Source organism: Homo sapiens, chromosome 4, assembly GCF_000001405.40.
Source record: "Homo sapiens chromosome 4, GRCh38.p14 Primary Assembly".
Taxonomy (NCBI): domain Eukaryota; kingdom Metazoa; phylum Chordata; class Mammalia; order Primates; family Hominidae; genus Homo; species Homo sapiens.
This window is the reverse complement of record NC_000004.12, coordinates 140,011,004-140,030,103: the sequence shown is the minus strand read 5'-3', so window position 1 is coordinate 140,030,103 and position 19,100 is coordinate 140,011,004. Positions and strand designations below refer to the sequence as shown.

At 36.9% G+C, this 19,100-nt stretch overlaps 1 protein-coding gene and 1 long non-coding RNA gene across 4 annotated transcripts in view; one reads left to right on the top strand and one right to left on the bottom strand.

Moving 5' to 3' along the window:
- Positions 1 to 18,469, bottom strand: part of LOC124900783 (uncharacterized) — a 52,131-nt gene extending 33,662 nt beyond the window's left edge. The window contains exon 1 of the long non-coding RNA XR_007058278.1: positions 1,050 to 18,469. This is a non-coding gene — a long non-coding RNA (uncharacterized LOC124900783). The remainder of the gene's footprint in view (positions 1 to 1,049) is intronic.
- MAML3 (mastermind like transcriptional coactivator 3) overlaps positions 1 to 19,100 on the top strand; it is a 437,432-nt gene that overhangs the window by 124,081 nt on the left and 294,251 nt on the right. The gene's annotated exons all lie outside the window — the stretch shown is intronic.

The window sequence follows — 19,100 nt, the reverse complement described above, 5'->3', positions numbered from 1 at the left end:
AGAGAAACCAGGATGGGCAAAGAGAAATGTGTGATTGGGGAAAAACAATATCCTTACCTCATCCTTTTCGTTTCTTCCTACTCACAGAATGTTAAATGCACTCCTAAATGAAAATAGTGTGGATGTGTGAGTGGCTGTCACTCAGACAGAGGAGGGAAAAAACCCAACTTATTTCATCTTCATCATCTTATTTTGTCAGACCAAGCAGAATCCTCCTCAAACTATCCAGAGTAACTTTGGTTAAAATATGGGTGTGTGGCCAAAAGCTTTGGATAGATTTATTTTGTACGAATTTTAAAAAACAAAATGTTAGCATCTTTGCTTATGGTAGTTTTGAAAGAAAAATATACATATTTCCTAAGCTGATATTAAAAGTGGCATTTATGTAATAATTATGGGTGACTTGTTTCAGTCTTTTTAGAAGACACATAAAATTGAAATGATAGATGTAATATTTATAAATAGTATTATGCTTACTAATATAGTAATAAGCCCTCTTTTTCTGTAGTTTATCCCTAATGAAATATTTTCTCAAAATTTTCCCTATTTTAAAAAATTTATTTTTGTGCTACAATACAAGGTGAAAATTAGTTGGTAATTAATCCAGCAATAACAGTTAACAGTCTCAAATTCAGTTACCACACAAATAAGAAAGGAATACAAAAAGAAGGAGGGGATGTACTTAAATCCAAATGTGAGCATGGATATCACCCAGAAAGAGAGAGAATTCAGCATTTCTCCTAGTTTGTGGTCTTTGAGGCATAACTGATAAGTGGGAAAACAGTTGTTCTAATCGCAGTGGCAGTGTTCAAGGGAGGAACCATTGCTGGAAGTGACCAAGTGTACTATTTTCAGGTGGCAAACTCACCAATAGGGATCATTTCCCTTTTCTCTAGTTGAATTGGTGTTGCTGCTACCCTGTGCTGAGCAGGGTTTGGTTTTACTGATTGACTGAGAAGATGGTACCTGTCCCCCTGGGCTGAGAGCAGGTGTACCTGGGCAGTCTCTGACCATTTAGCTGGGTCCCGTGGTTCTGCAGCACTTGTTACCTTGCAGAATTGGGGCAGGTGCTTTACTCAAGGTCAGCGGTTTCACCTCGAAGACTGGACATCATTGTAAAAACCAGACGCAGTCTAAAAGTGACAATGACAACAGTGCAAAAATAGAAGGAAAAAAAGGAGAAAGCTGAAAGTAAATCAAGTCTGTCTATAGGACTCTCACAGGAGAGCATGAATCATCAAAGAGGTTCCAGAGTTACAACCAAGAAGTATTTATGGCGATCAGTGGTGCAAAGGGTAATAATACAAACATAATAAAGAAGAGAAAGGAAAGCATACTAGAGATAAAGGAGGCCTAGCATTAAATGAATAGGGAGATAAGCTTAATGATTATGCTCAAATGTCTGAGCTATTGATGGCAAAATGGCTGAGCTTTGGAACTGCTTTTTAAAACTGGCCTTTAAGAAGATAAATAAGGATAATTAAACAGTAATGAAGACCCGTTTCATTAAAAAAAGAAGAAAACAAATAAATAGGCAAGATCTTAGATGATGTGTTAGCCAGTGTTAATGGAAATAATAATGAATTCCTCAAAATATGGTAGCTCTCCTTTGGAATCACGAAGAATAATGAGAAAGAGAGAGAGAGAAGGAGAGAGATGGGGAGGAAAGAGAGAGAGAAACAGACAGACAGACACTGGAGTAAAGACTGCATATCCAGTTCTCACTTGTTCAGAGTATCATTGGCAGAGATATCTCAGATTCATTCTCTTGTCTTATTTTAGCCACTTTTTTTTCAGAATCCTTACCCCAGGAACCTCTTTATCAGAACTGCCAGTTAGAAGCCACACATGCTTTCTCTCTTCTTCCTGCTTCATCTATGCTCCAGTGTTGCTAATGTATAGTAAAAATAAAATGAAAAATAGTTTAGGAGAGACATTGTCCTGTACACTTCACAGAACAAGAGCCCCTGAATAATTAATTTCTAAATAGAATTAGTGTTAAACCTATTCCAAACATAATACTTGCCCATAATAAGTATTCCATAAACATTTGTTGGATAAATAAGTGAATTAGGAAAACTACATTGCTAACAAATACTAGAACATTTGAGAGGGTAAATATGTGAACATCTATGAGGTATTAGAGCCAAGAGCTACAAACAGCATAAATCTATAAAGCTTTTTCATGTTATACCAACTTAATCGATTTTTTGTTTTGAAAATTGGAAAACAGTGGACAAAAAGAATACACTAGATATATTATTATATCTAAATACATCCAGATGTTAATGGAAGAATTGATAGCAGGTCTCATGAAATCTAGTTCAGAAAATGAATTCAAATTGACTTGAATGTGTCAAATTGATTGAAAACTGCCTGAAGGACTGAAAGTGTAATGATAAATGGCAATGTATTGAATCTGGACGAGTGTTCAGCATGGTCTTATTTAACATCTTCATTAATTATCTGGGAAAGGATATAAACAACACATTCATTAAATTTGTAGACGCGAACGAGAGAGGTGTTTTTAAGCACTGGGTAGGGCAGAGGGCAACTTGAAGGGAACTACCCTGCTCAAGAACAGAATGATGTTAATAATTTGATGAAAATCTGCTAATGGCCTGGCAGTGTTCTGTGCAGAGCACGATCCCAGGCACTGTAGGTGATTAAAAGATGAGTTAAAGCATCTCAGCAGACAGAGTGCAAACAACTAAAGTATACCACGGGAGAAGGGGAAGGAAGTGCTGCATTAGAAGTGCAAGCAAACTGCAATGGAAGCAAAGAAGTGATGAAATTCTAAAGAGAACAGTCAGGACTGCAAATTCACATTGTTACACCATGAGGAAAACAACTGGAGCAAGAAACATCCCAGAGAAGTAACTAGGGTTAGATAAAGGATAATGCCATGGGCTACCAAGAAGCAACAAGACGGGGATATTTTTCTTCAAGCACGCCATGTGAGTCACAGATAATAGAGTCGGGACATTGGGCTCAGCCAGTGCAAACTCACTGCTCAACAGAACCTGTCTTTTTTTTTTTTCCTTTTTCTACTATTTTTCTTTCTTGTGTTAAGGTAAACTACTAGGTACTGTTTTTAATTTAGTTTTTAATTATGATCTAAGGATCAGTACTATGGAAACACACATAATTATATAAGAAAGTATTGCACATATAAAGCATTATTTATTTTATAATATTAAATAAATGGCAACAATCTAATGTTCAATAGTAGGGGAAAATTTACAAAACTTTACTGTCTGTACTTAACAGGATATTCTCCAGCTACTAATGGGTGTTTATGCGGAATTAGAACAGGAAAAAATGCCCATATTTTAATGTTAGGTGAGAAAACTGGGATGCAAAATTTACCATAGAGTGTGATCAAAAGCAAAAAGCTAGTGCATTTTTAGCAACAAAATGTATCAGTGGCTGTCTTTGTGTAGGGGGAAAGAGGAGGCTAGAAAATAGTATTTGTTGAGTCCAACCAACTAATTTGTTCAATGTTTCTTTCTGTCGTAAAGGTTTTTATTTGCATTTTAATATATGTTTTGACCAGATGTGGTGGCTCAGGGCTGTAATCCCAGCACTTTGGGAGGCTGAGGCAGGTGGAGTACTTGAGGTCAGGAGTTTGAAACCAGCCTGGCCAACGTGGTGAAACCCCGTCTGTACTAAAATACAAAAATTAGCTAGGTGTAGTGGCGCATGCCTGTAATCCCAGCTACTTGGGAGGCTGAAGCATGAGAATCGCTTGAACCTGGGAGGTGGAGGTTGCAGTGAGCCAAGATCACGCCACTGCACTCCAGCCTGGGCCACAGAGTGAGATTCCGTCTCAAAAATATATATAAGTAAGTAAAATAAAAATTTAAAGATGTATATATGTGTATATGCACACAGACACACACACACACATATATATGTTTTGATGAGCCTCTAATAAGGCACTTAAGGGAAGTTTAATGATTTAGTTATATGGTTATTTTCTTGGAAAAAAAAATCGAGGTTCCTAATCATTAAGGGATATTAGTTGTCTTGAAGATTGACGTATGTTAAGCACACCTGGAATAACAAACAAATTTGGCTGTTAGGTATAACCCAATGAGTAAAAGACAAGGATGTGCATTATGACATAGCCACAGTGATCAGGGAGGAGCTGCCCATGCACACAAACTCACACATTCCTGCACACAGGCATACCTCAGTAATGAAACCACGTACCCCTAAGGACTGAGAGCCAATCCATGGGAGAGGTTTTTAAACGCCAAAACACATAAGGTGGGCAGAGATCCGAGACTCATTTTATGTAGTATTTTTCAATCGCGGTTGAGAGCATTGGGTAGAAGGACACTTCTAGATGAAGTCGAAAGTGGCAACAGTATATCTAGAGCTGACAGCTGGTGTTGTAAAATCTTCCTGAAACAATGTTGGCACCGTGGCTGTGTTTCTCTTGTCTTCCTGTCTGTCTCTGGTCCAGGTTGCCCTATGCTCTTCCCTTTATTTCTTATTCTTTTTCCTGGCCTCAGTCCTAGGGGAAGTGAACTGTGTACCCAGGTGTGTATCTGGCATTTCTCTAGCAGGTTTTTAAATAATTTTATCTATCATAATTATTTTCATCAGGACAGAAATCTTTCCATATTCTTTATCAAGATACTCTATCATGAAAATTGTCAAATATATGCAAAAACAAAGAGAATGACCCTTCATATACCATTACTCAGATACACTGAGTACCAAGATTTTGTCATACTCAGTTCATCTGTCGTCTCCCTCTTTTTTGTCAAAGTAAAAATCTCAGATGTGTCATTTCACCCTTATTTACTTTAGGTTATTTCTCAGAAAAATGGAGAGTTCTCATATAACAATGATGCTATTATCAAGCCTAACAATATTAGTATCATCTAATACCTAACCCATAATCAAATTAACTCAATTGTCCCAAAACAGCCTTTTCCAAGTAGGTTTGTGTCAATCAGGATCCCGACAAAGTCCACACATTACATTGGTTGTTATATCTCTTGAGTCTTTTTAATCTGTCTCTGCTTCCTCACTCTCCCCCATTAACACATTAGGGAACATGTTTTGAATAATTTGGAAACATAGCCATCGAGTACTCTTAGGAAAGAGTAATGGGGTTGAGGATGGTTAATTTAGCCCATCCTAACTTCTGTGAGATTTTTTTCAGAATATTTTGGATGGTTCTCTCACTTTTGTTATTAAGCATTTGGGAAGAAGATTCTGCAGCCTACTCAGGTGAGCCAATCTCATGGCATTGAACAGAGAAGATATGTTTTCACGTCTCTAACCAGTGTTTTTCATAGTGTAAGTCAGGCCTTTCTCCTTTGATCTAAGTGGAACCAAGAGGTTAGATACTCCCTTTTCTTTAGTTATATTATGGGCTTCATGTAACTCCAAATTGTATTTCTTCCTCAGCTATTTATATATATTTTTTGGTGGTGGTTCTATTGTTTTACAAATTTAAGCAAGAGGTTGAATAGCAGAGTGATTAAGAGCAAAGACTGCTGGAGTCAAATCTTGACTCTGGGCCGGGCTCAGTGGCTTATGCCTGTAATCCCAGCACACGCCTGTAATCCCAGCACACGCTTGTAATCCAGCACTTTGGGGAGCCAAGGTGGGAAGATTGCCAGAAGCCAGGTGTTTGAGACCAGTCTGGGCAACAAAGTGAGGCACCCATCTCTGTTAAAAATTTAAAAATTAGCCAGGCACAGTGATGTGCACCTATAGTCCCAGCTACTCCAGAGGCTGAGACAGGGAGATCATTTGAGCCCAGGAGTTTGAGGCTGCAGTGAGCTGTGATAGCACCACTGCACTCCAGCCTGGGCGACGGAGCAAGACACTGTCTCTAAAAAAAAAAAAAAAAATCAATCAATCCATCCATCTTGACTCTGCTGCTTACTACTGGTATGTGACCTTGGCAAGTTACTTATCCTATCTGTGCCTCAGTTTCCACATCTTGAAAATTGGATAATAATAGTATCTATTTTATAAGGTTGTTAAGATTGATACACACATATACATTACTTAGAATAATGTTTGTCACATACTAGGCATGTAGATGAGTGTTAGCTATTGCTGTTATATCATTAATATGCTCTTGCTATAAAAACAAGAAAGTAAAAAGTCAGTTTCAACTTGTAGAGAGGTAGTACTTTCCACACTGTTTTAAAGGAGAGTAATATGTAAATAAAAGTAAAAGGTGAATAATTTTGTGAAACTGTGTGACAGTAATATATTTTCAATATTAGGGACAATCCTTTGGCTTATGATAATTTTTCCAAAAGAAAAAGTTAAAATGTCAGAATTAACAGCATTTCAAGTGAAAACATCTTAGAATGTGGCCTAAGAGTGTAGACCTAAAGAATCAGTTGTAAGAATTTGCTTCATTTCTCTGTTTTGGGTGAATTATGTTTATTAAACTTGCATATTTAAATGAAAAAGCACAAGAAACTTTTTTAAAAGCCATGTCTGAATGCCAGCAAATATTTGAAAGAACAAATATAAGCTTGTTTTAACAATTCTCTGCAAATTTCCTCCCTCCACATATCCCCCTGACAAATAGCCTTTGCAATGTGAGTACTTCGCTTGGGCATAAAGGACTGAATGTGAAGATGTGTAAAAGATCCATTGTCTAGGCTGCTCCTGGGTGATGGAAGTCGCTTCTGAGGTGGGCTTAGCAGGAGGGCACATGCTCACTCACCAAGAGTGTATCCACAGACCTCAGCTTCCATGCGCATTGATGATGGCCATGGAAGCACATGGGTTGAAAATACCCTTAGAGCTGCATGACTGGACAGAACGTCTAGCTATTATGTGGTCCATCTCTCAGGAAATTGAAGTCCAGGGAAGCTGGGCAACTTCTCTAAATCACACAGGAAAATAAGATAGGAACTTGATTTGCTCTCTTCCTGGTTCAGAGTTCTCAGTATCATTCTGCACAAAGATGTGAATAGGGGTTAGGTAAAAAGGATTATATGGTCAAAAGGCTTGGGAAAACCTGGGTTCCATATATTATACAGGTGTCTTTCCTGCAAGATGTCTCAGAGCCTTCAATATCTTAAAAGGGGGATTATTATGCAGCATTTCTCAGATTTATTTGACCATGGAACCCCTTTCTTCACTGAATATGCTTTGGGTAAAAGCTACTCTGTGCTGTCCCTTACTTGAATAGAGTATACAACATAAGAACTGAGAGAGAAAGTCACAGCATAAGCTCATAATATTTATAATAGCCATCTTGACCTGTATTTGAACTAGGGTTATACATTCTTCTATTGAGTTAGTAGTGACAGATGAAGACAAGGAAGGAAAGGTAAAAATTGATTAAACTGCTTATTTAGTGGGCAGAGGGAAAAAGAGATGGGCATATTTTGTCTATTCTCAATTCCTTGAATCTTATAAAGAAGAGATGAATTTTTCTTCTGACTGTGCCTCCTGTCCCATTGCTTCTTGTCTGGCCTACACACATTTTGCTATTTCTAGAACCAAGTTAATACATTGTTCTTTGCTGGGCATCTTATTGATCTTCCATGTTATTAATATTCACTTTTGGCTGCCAGATTAGCTCTAATGAACCATTTACATTTATTTTTAGCACACTTAGAAAGTTGGGACGTATTATCCAGATTGCATTCTACTGTGCAGGAATTGTATCTACAAATAATGAGAAGTCTTACTTTCCTCCTTTTTCCGATTTCCCTTACTTTAACTTTACCCCAAACAGAAATAAAGGAAGTCTTCAATTTATGAACAGGCTGTTCCAATAGTTTTTTGGGGGTAACTCAGAATTTATGTTCCCATAAAAACAGTGTTCCTAGGCTAACCCACTAAAAAAACATTTTACCCATAGTGATTTTAAAAGTATACATTTACATGTTATTTACAACAAAAGGGAAGCAATTTGGTTTCACACATCATAGAATGTATTTACCCCTATTTGAAACAGGTCCTCCTCTCTCATGCTCACACTCACTTGCTGGAATTTGCAACTTCCCTTGGGTCCCTCCAGGGCTGTGGCACCGTCTAGAGTAGGGCTGGACCAAGAACTCTGGAGCCAGACTGTTGAGGTTAGCACTCCATCTCTGCTACTTCTGTGTCCTGGTAGGCTATGTTACCTTTTGGTGTCCCAGTTCCCATATCTCTAAAATGGGGATAATAATGGTATCCATCTCATAAGGCACCTGACACGTAGAAAAGTGCTAATAGGTATTTGCTCTCATTATGATGACAGTGCTGATGGAGTGGGGTGGACCTGATGGGGCAGTGGGATTCAGGACAGGACTTAAGCCAAACAAAACTGGAGGAAGGATTGGGATCAGTGGCACCAGGAAGCGGAGGAAGAAGGGAGGTTGGTGAGTGGATTCAGGAACGTTAAACTGGATAAAGAAGAGAAAGAAGAAAGAAATGAGATTCCCAATGCAGTTATGACCTGAGTAGGATTGGAGAAAAAGGAATCAGAGAGGGAAGAGAAATTCTTGGGTCATTGTTTTAAAAATAAGGAAAAAAAATTAGGTAAGGAATATGGGTAGATATTTTTGCCACTTTTCAGCTTCAAGACGTAGATCTAATTACTTAGCTACTTTGAACCTTATAAATTGGGAATAATAGTATTAACCTTGCAGGGATGTATAAAGATTAGAATAGTGTATCCAAAATGCCTGGCACACATTAGGTAGGCCCTCAATAAATGATGATATTTGTTCTTACATAAAGGTTATGCTGCTGAAGTACTTCCAGCAAATCATTCTTTTTTTCCAGCCCTAGTTAATTTCTATTGCTTAAGTAGTCCATACTCACTTCTAAAAGGTAGAAAATTAAAAATAGTTAAGTAACTTATCTAAGCTCACACAGTAATGGAATGGTTAAACTGGGATTCAGAGCTTGCAAGTGTAACTCCAGAGCCCGTTCTCCTAAATAACACACATATTTGTAAGTCCCAGCAGGTACAGTTGTTTTATTTCATATGGCTATAGCTACAGAAGAGAAGCAGTCTTCTTTTCTCCACGTATTGTCTATTTTCATCTCTCTGTAACTCCTTGGGTACTTTAAAAATGAAAAAGTGACCTACACCTTTGTTTCTCTGGATCGGATGTCATCTAGGAAGTATGTATTTGGCTTCAGTTTGTTTCACTGGCAGTTTTTTGCAACTATCAGAGGATGGAATTTTGCTTTGTCATCTGACCCAAGCACAAACTTAGGTAAATTTATGAGAACGGGCCAATTTCTACAGAAAAGCTGACTCTAGTGAAAGATTTTTCTTCCCCAAGTCAATTTTTTAATTTGTATTTGATCTGTTCTGCATGGTGTTTGGCCCTCCTCTTTGCAAGTTTTGCAATTTCACTGTCCAACAAGCAGTATCTGGTAGGAGTTTTAATAAGACTCTTCACCCTTCTTTGTGCTCAAGAAAATATTGTCAGCACTCTTCCATTCCCTCAGAAACAGGATCCCACCCACTCTGACATAGCTGTTCCACACAAGAAACCAAACATGTAAACCCTAAACAAAGAGAGTTTGATGCCAAGGGTTACTTTTTCTCTTTATTCTGTAATATATTTATACACTTTTGCTCAATATCAAACTATTTGAAGTCATTATAAATAAATCCAGAAATATGTGCTTTATAGCCTCAATATGAGCAAATACCAGGCCAGAACTGACCAAATGCACAAACAAAAAAAAAAATCAGCCTCAAATTAGATTTCATGGTGCAATTATTTCATATATTTCTGAAAACTGTTCTTTTAAAATATCTACTGTTTTCTTCCATCTTTTCAATTGTCTCCAAGTCTTCTGCCACCCCCACCTAGAAAAAGAGTCTTTTGTTTGCATTAGGACATTTACATAGGCATTTCTTTTCTGGAGAAATATGACAGCAGCTGAGATAGCACAGGCCTTGTTAATACTTAACACTGAATAAACAGGGCAGGTAATGACCATTGTAATACTTCCAAATGCAGTACAGCAACACAGTTGACAAAGGTCAGGAGGGAAAAAAAATAGCATTGGTGTTTGCAGTGGGAAGAATCTTCTGAAATGAGACTTGAGAAAACAAGGCATATGTCCTGTGTCTTAAAGCCTTTGTTGAAGGGAAGACTACCAAGCTCCCTCAGAACTGGTGTTCCAAGATTTGTAATCTCAATACTGAGAAAGATGGAAACATAAGGACAAACTTTAGTACTAGGAAATCCTCACAGTACCCAGGGCTTTAATATTTCGTCATATAAATTAGGCAGTCAGGTCAACCTACCTAAATATTGTATTAAAGGCACCCTTTTATACCAACTTCGCCCAAAACACTCCCAGCTGCTCATTGTACACTGAAGTTACACAGTGTATCTTTTCAAGGACCTTGCAGTCTTTGTGAAAAGGACTTCGGTGCTTCCAAGAGTAGCTCTCAGGAGACACCTCTTAGATGAGGTGTTGTTTTCTGGAAAGGTGCCTAAGTTCCTAGATTGTATAGCAGTGGAAAGATTGAGGCTCTAACATATATTTCAGAGAGCTGCCTTATGTTGTTGGCCGTGTTCATAAGCAAGATCCAGTCATCTGGGTGAATGAGGAGCTGCCCATCTTCCTAGGCCAGAGGCTTAAGAGTCTATTTGTTCATGCATTCATTCCTCACTCATTAGGTATTTATAGAGTAGCATCTGCTATGGGTCAGGCTGTTTTCTCAGCGCTGGGGATAAATAGTGAACAAAACATTGTCAAAGAGCTTTGGGTCTAGTGGGGAAGACAGACAAGTAAACAGATCATTGTAATATGGTGAAGTAATTAATTACAGGGTGACTAAGGTATACTTCACTCAGGCTTCTGAGGGACCTGCAAAGGTTTTACATAAAAAGTGTCTTTGAAGCCCAAAGATTTATTAGGATTTTGTCAGTGTTGTGTAGGGAGAGTTTTCTAAACTGAAAAAACATATCCAAATCCCTGGAAAAAGAATATGGTCAGTTAGGGGAACTGAAAGTAGTTCAGTGTGGGCGGAGGGCAGAGTTAACCTAAAAGATTAGTGAACAGAAAAACAATTAGAACCCAAGTTTGTCAAGAGGTTGAGGTTTAAACAACAATTTGGAAAAGAGAAAAAAAATTATTCTTCAGTTACTAATTTTGCACATATTAGCAATTTGAATTGAGAGGTTTTGTAAGACTTCATTTATTTTTAAGTATTTTTTCATTTTTCTTGTCTTTTTTATTTCTAGTTTATTGTCAGTTATGACTGCTCTGTGTTAATTATAATTATGAAAAGTTGAGAAAACATATATGTGCCCCAACATTAAGGGATTAGTTACATAAGTTATAATAAGTTAAAAACACTATGTCCCAAAACATTATATACAAAACATTAAACTAAGCCCATTTATTTAAAACATAAAATCATAAAAACATGATTAGCAGAAACCATTTCTATTTTATCTTCTTGCCTCTCTAACTGCAAAGTACCTGATAATAGACTTCCAAAAATTCTTGTGGATGAATTAATGAATGAATGGAAAAAAAGTAAGCATGGCTGCAAGCAACTATTAGACTTTACCTTCCACAAAGAAATGCAGAAAAGTTGACAGAATATTTTGATTATTATTTGCTTGGAGTTTGTAACTCGGGGCCAAATACCTGTCCTTTGCTTTTTCCTATTCCTTCCATGTAGTGACATTATTAATATATTAAGATAAACAAGATTGTTTTCTTCTTTAAAACATTTGCTCTTTCACTGCTACAAAAATATTATAGTTTATGCTTTTGTTTGATCTTTCCATGAGTAGATACATGTGTATTTGTTTCTAATATTTGCACATTCATTTTCCACTTTGACATTGTGTAAAGGGTTTTGGTTTTTTTATTATGCGTTATACATTTGTTTGGCTTTTGTGCGGTTACATATACCAGCAGAAGCTGCCACATAGAAAAGGGGAGCACCCAGAGGTTTAAATTAGAATCTGAGTAGTTCTCAAATTAAAATTTTAGGTTATTTGAATTGGAGATAGCTACACCAGCAGTTGTCTGTAGAAACCCAATTAGACTTAATAGAAAATTAACCCCACCCTAACTAGCACTAATAATCTAGCGTATTCATTCCTTTTTGTATTTTTAAAATTAACCTTTTTATTTTGAGATAACTAGATTCACATGCAGTTGTAAGGCATGATACAGACACATCTCATGTATTCTTAGCCCAATTCCCCCAAATGGTAATATTTTAAAAAACTATAATACAGTCTATCAACCAGGGTATTAACATTGATACAATCAAGATACAGAACATTTCCCTAACCACTAGAATCTCTCATATTGCCCTGTTATAGCTACACCTATTTTTCCTCTATCCCCCTTTCTTAACCACTAGATACTCATTTTTATAATTTTGTCATTTCAAGAATGTTATATAAACAGAATCACATACTGTAAACTTTTGGGATAGGTTTTTTCTTTTTTTCGCCTGCTCAGCATGATTCTCTGTTGTGTGTATCAATAGTTCATTCCTTTTTATTGCTGAGTAGTATGCCATAGTATGGATATGCAATACTTTGTTTAAGCATTCATCCCTTGAAAGATAATTTGTTTTTTATAGGTTTTGGTTATTTATGAATAAAACTGATATGAGCAATCATATACAGGGTTTTCTGTGGATATAATTTTTATTTTTCTGGGATAAATATCCAGGAGTACAACTGCTTGGTCATATGGTAGTTGCATGTTTAGTTTTTAAAGAAACTGCCTATTTTCAACAGGGGCTGTATTATTTTACTTGTCTACCAGCAATGTACAAATGGTCCATTTCTCTAAATCTTTGCCAGTATTTGGTGGTGTCACTGTTTTTTATTTTAGCCATTCTGCTAAGTGTATAGTGATGTCTCATTGCGGCCTTAATTTGCATTTCCCTGGTGGCTAATGATGTTGAACATCTTTTTGTGTGCTTATGTGCCATCTGTATGTCATCTTCAGTGAAATGTCTGTTCAAGTCTTTTGCCCATATTCTAATTGGAATGTTTTCTTACTGCTGTGTTTTGAGAATTCTTTATATAGTCTAGATAGAAATCCTTGTTAGATATATGGTTTGCAAATATTTTCTCCCAACATGTGATTGTTCTTTCGTTCTCTTAAGAGAATCTGTCACAGAACAAAAGATTTTTCACAGAACAAAACTTACCAAATTTTCCTTGACTCGTTATGCTTTTGGTGTTGACTTTAAGAATTCTTTCCTAGCTCTAGCTCCCAAAGATTTTCTCTTACTTTTTTTCCTAAAATCTTTATAGTTTTACATTTTACATTTAAGTTTGTGATCCGTTTTGAGATACTTTCTGTATAAGGTGTGAGGTTTAGGTAAAGGTGGGTATTTTTGGTTTGGTTTTGTTTTATGTTTGTTTTGCCAATGAATGTTTAGTTGCTCTGGCCATTTGTTGAAAAGTCTGTCCTTCCTCCGTGAAATTGCTTTTGCAACTGTCAAAAATAAATTGAACATATTTGTATTAGGTGGATCTATCTCTGGGTTCTCTATTCTGTTTCATTGATCTAGTGTTTGTCTCTTCACTAGTACCCCACAGTCTTGATTACCATAACTATATACAGTAGTAAGTCTTGAAATCAGGTACACTGATGCCTTCTACTTTATTCTTTTTTTCAAAATTGCTTCCATTATATCAGTCTCTTTGCATTTTCACATACATTTTAGAATATTTGTCTTCATCTACAAATCTATTGCTGGGATTTTGGTAAGAACTGTTTTAAACTTGTGTATCAAGTTAAGGAAAAGTCACATCTTACTATGTTGTCTTCCAATCCATTAATGCAGTATGCCTCTCCATTTATTTAGATCTTCTTTGGTTTTTTTCATCAGAATTTTTTAGTTTTCAGCACATAAGTCCTGTATTTGTTTTGTTAGAGTTATACCTAAATATTTCATCTTTCAGTAAGTGTAAATGGTACTCTATTCTCAACTTTGGTGCTCACATATTTATTGCTAGGACATAGAAATATAAATTATATTTTGTATGCTAATCTTGTATCCTGTTATCTTGCTGGACTCACTAGTTTTAGGAGGTCCTTTTTTTTTAAAGATCTCTTGAGATTTTCCATTTACACAATCATGTCATTCATAAACAGGAACCAATCCTTTTTCATCTGTATACCTTTATTTTTATGTATTTTTTTGAGATGGCGTCTTGCTCTGTTGCCCAGGCTGGAGTGCAGTGGCACAATCTGGGCTGACTACAACTGCCGCCTCTTGGGTTAAAGCGATTCTCATGCCTCAGCCTCCTGAGTACCTGGGATTACAAGCGTGTGCCACCACATGTGGCTAATTTTTGTATTTTAGTAGAGACAGGATTTCACCATGTTGGCTAGGCTGGTCTCGAACTCCTAACCCCGAGTGATCCACTCACCTCGGCCTCTCAAAGTGCTGGGATTACAGGCGTAAGCCACCACACCTGGCCCATCTGTATACTTTTAATTTTATTTTCCTGCCTTATTGCCCTGGCTAGCACTTCCAACACTTTGTTGAATAACAGGAGTGAGAACAGACATCCTTGCTTTGTTCGTGGTATCAGGGAGAAAGCATTCAGTCTTTCAACAATAACTATTTTAATGATAGACTTTTTTTAGATGCTCTTCATCAATTTGAGGAAGTTTCTCTCCATTTCTAAAAATTAAGAATTTGAAGAGTAAAGAAGTTCGAATATTATAAATCTTATAGTTTATTATTTTTTACCTTAAGAAATTATAGAGCTTCTGTTCTTGCTAGTTAGTTATGTCTTCAGGACTTATGCAAAACAGGGTAACCCAGAGTGATAGACATCCTTTTTATTGATGTTTCATGATTTTAAATTTCATTCTCTTTTTTCTTTGCGTACTTGACTTTGCTTTTCTTTTTCTGACTTTTTTCTTTTAAAAAGTGCATCAGTAGACAATACTTCTGTGTTGTAATTGGTCAGTGGAAGACTTTTAATTCATACTTTAAAATAATGTATGCTTACAGGGAATATATATTTCAAAGAGCTATCTGAAAATTAGTTTCAATTGGAATTCAAACTAATCTTTATTTGATTTGTACTTGCCTCATTTTCACTTTAAATTTTTAATTACTTTTTAAATTTTTTGAATTTTTGAATTTTGAAATACTTTTCAGTTTTAATTTGAATGTGCAACTTTACTTTCTTCTGTAAAATTTAATATTGCCAGACCAACTCACTTGGATGTCTACTTTTATGAAATAATGCCAGCTTTTCCATTCTTCCTATACACATATAATTAGGTCTTTCAGTATTTTAGTCTTTTCAATATCCTAGTGTCCCTAAGGAAGGGAGTGATTGAAGTTTACCACTTCCTATGACGTTAATGCTGAACTTAAACATCTTCAAGGCAAGGTGTGAACACAGAACAAATATATCTTCAAGTTATGAGCAACAGCAACAACAAAAAAACTAATTCACACAGATTTACTCTATTGTAACCTACCACGTCACCCAGCAATATAAAATTGTTTTTGTCATTATATATACTTCTGTATCATCATTTAGACTCTAAGCACCATGAAGGCAGGTATCATTTCTTTTTCATTTACCTCATGTACATGAGGCACTCAATGAATATTTGTCGAATGACTAATTTCTGATGACTGTGTGGTATTCCGTTGTTTGGACACACCATTGTTTAGTTAAGCAGTCCCTTTCTTTTGGACATTTAGGCTGTTCCTAGTTTTTGCAATAATAAACATGTAACTAATCTTTCCAGCCCCTCCCACTTTGATGAGTCTTCTAATTTTAAATTGTGTCTACATTCGGCTTTTGGACATCTATATTTTTTGATCATTTATCGTGCTTTGTCATTTTAATTTCTCTACTCTCTGGTTGGTTGGATATTTATGTCAAGCTGCTTAACAAATGAGCATATGGCATTGCTTTACTGCTTTACTACAGTGTTGGGAAGTCAGAATAGTGTTAGATGATGAGCCCTTTAGAAGAATTTAGAAAGAAGTTGACTAGAAAAGATGTAAAAGTTGTGAAATATATAAGGCCAATTTAGGAGATCACAGAAAGATGGTTCCACATTGTGGAGCATCTGTAATGTTGCTCCTGCAGCGATTGGCTTTGCCCATACCACTGAAAGAAGCCTCATCCCATTCTCAAGTGCTTTCAGAACAGCTGAAAGTGTAATGGGATCCACACCGCATTCCTATCAGAAGGTCCAAAGAATCTCAGCACCATCATTTATATACCTTTGCTGAGTATCTGTTATGGTCCAGAAAGGTTCTCTATTGGGGACTGTGGAGAGGCACCTAGGTACCCAAAACACAGTGCTTGTCCTCAAGTAATGAAGGAATTTACACTGGGGATGGGGAAGTAAGACTGAAGCCCTATGGCATTATGGTCAGAGCTCATGCTCCAGAAATGGACACACTTGGATTGGAATCAGGCTTTTTCTTGGTTGTATGACTTTGAGCAAGTAATCTAATTTCCATAAAGCTCAGTTTATTCATCTAGAAAATGGAAATAATAGTGTCAAAGGTTATTTTGAAGAATACATGGAAAAATGCATTTAAGACTCTTAGAAAAAAGTTTGGCATGAGGTAGGTGTATATTTTTTCTTGAAAAAGAAAAACGGGCACAAAAGACAGTGTGGTATCATGTCAGAGATAACATAGGATTTGCGGTAACAGAGACTACTTAATGGCTAGTGAGAGTGAGGAGGATGTTATGGAAAAATGTAGAAAATCACTTGCATCTTAAAGAACAGTTAGGATTGCAGGTGGCTGAGGGAAAAGTAAGGAAGATATTCCAGAGGAAGAAACGGCATATGCATAGGCAAGGGGAAGAATGCAGGCTGTGTTCATGGACTGTAGGGAGACAAGATGGCAAGGGTGAAGGCGGACTGAGATGCGTGCGTGCCCCTGATGAGCTAATCATTTGACTCCTTAAATATTTGACATTTTCTAGTGGAAGAGTAAAGGAAAGAATGGTTTTCTATTAATAAAATAGGTATACCCAAATAGTTCTTTCTTTATTTTCAAAATAAGATGTCTGTTATATGCTGGGAATGCAACATGACATTTTAACCTATTTGGACTTGTCTTTCATTTTTTAAAAAGCACTCATAATTGGATATGATTAGTCATACGCACCACGGATAGAGGTCATTTCCGTGGATACCGGCACTTGATCTCTTTGCTCAGGGTATATTGTGTGCTTTTATGGGAATGGCTCTTGTTTACATTTTACCAATGAGTAAGGAGTTTGAGGGTAGAAACCTGAGTTAACCGGCGCTGTATTTCTAATTGATTAGTGGTGTTTCAGTGCCCCCTATGGGATGGTGCCAGGGCAGTTGTCTCATTGGATATCTGCATAATTAGACTCAGGATGAAGGAGAGGAATAGAACCTAGACCTCAAGAGGTGGTTAGGGCCAGATCCTGGGGAAACTTGACTGGCTGGGTAAAAAGGTACAGATTTTAAATTATTAAGCAAAGCGGTCTATAGAAAGGCTGTTAAACAAATGCCCAAGATGGAACTTAGGAACATTTTATTTGGTGGTGAAGTTCATGAGACAATGAAGACAGGAAGCTGATGTGGTGGTCACTTTAGAAATACAAGTGTGAAGTCCTAAGTGCTGGCCTTGGACAGGAGTAAAGTGAATGGGAGGAAACTGAGAACTGTAGGCAAGAGGAAGAAAGAACTGATGAACTGGACGACTGATTGCATACAGGAGGCTGGGAAGAGGGAGCATGCTGAGACAACAGAGATCTTGAGTCTCGTTGACCTTCCAGGTATGTCTGTCACCTACAGCCTATAACACTCATAATTTATGTCCTCTGACACATAAAATATAACAGGTTATTTTCTACCTCGTAGAAACCAAACCAAAGCTTAAATTTCACAAGCAAAACTTGTTTTTCACTCTATACAACATTAATTCTTTTATCTTCTTTTTCTCATTGAATAGCTCCAAAATAAAATTTTTTGGGTTGCCAAACTTATAAGAATTCCCTGTTTTTCAAAACTTTCTATTTTAAGACCCCTTCCTTGCAATAAAATATGGCTGATTGAAGAGGCATTACATAATAGGTAATTGCCTAAAACATCTGTAGACTTTTTTTTTTTTTGAGATTTAGATCACTTCTGTAATGTATGATAAAAATGAACTTAGACTTACTAATTTGGAACTTTTAATAATTTAGGCAGGAAGAAATTTCCATTGTAATTCTCCATAAAAAAGTTTTTCCTCCCTTTTCACCTTTTTTCAGTGGTGGAATGTTTAAAGTGGATTAAATATGAGAATGAATCATTAATTGCATTTTAGAAAAGTGCTTAGTATACTAAAAACACCTGTCCTCTGCATATACAGAAACTGCAGTGCACAAACAGGCAGAGAGGTTAGATGTATTTAGCCAAACCTGAAGCAATAGTAAAAATCATTAAGGCCATTAGTTCACCTGAACCACTCCTCAACCTCCCATAAAAACAAGAAAACGGCCGGGCGCGGTGGCTCACGCCTGTAATCCCAGCACTTTGGGAGGCCGAGGCGGGTGGATCATGAGGTCAGGAGATCGAGACCATCCTGGCTAACAAGGTGAAACCCCGTCTCTACTAAAAATACAAAAAATTAGCCGGGCGCGGTGGCGGGCGCCTGTAGTCCCAGCTACTCGGGAGGCTGAGGCAGGAGAATGGCGTGAACCCGGGAAGCGGAGCTTGCAGTGAGCCGAGATTGCGCCACTGCAGTCCGCAGTCCGGCCTGGGCGACAGAGGGAGACTCCGTCTCAAAAAAAAAAAAACAAAACAAGAAAACCTTGAGTAAAACCAATCAATGTCTTTTCTCTGTTTGGTAAAGTCATCAAAGTAAAGTTTTTTGGGTCTGTTTGTCATATATATATATATATATATGCACACTTTATATATATAACAAAATATATATTTGTCAGATATGTATAAATATATATGACATATATGTCATATATATAAATATATATGACATATGTGTATATATATATATATACACACACACTTTTTTTTTTTTTTCGAGACAGAGTCTAGCCCTGTCGCCCAGGCTAGAGTGCAAGCAGTGCAATCTTGGATCACTGCTACCTCCGCCTCCTGGGTTCAAGCAATTCTCC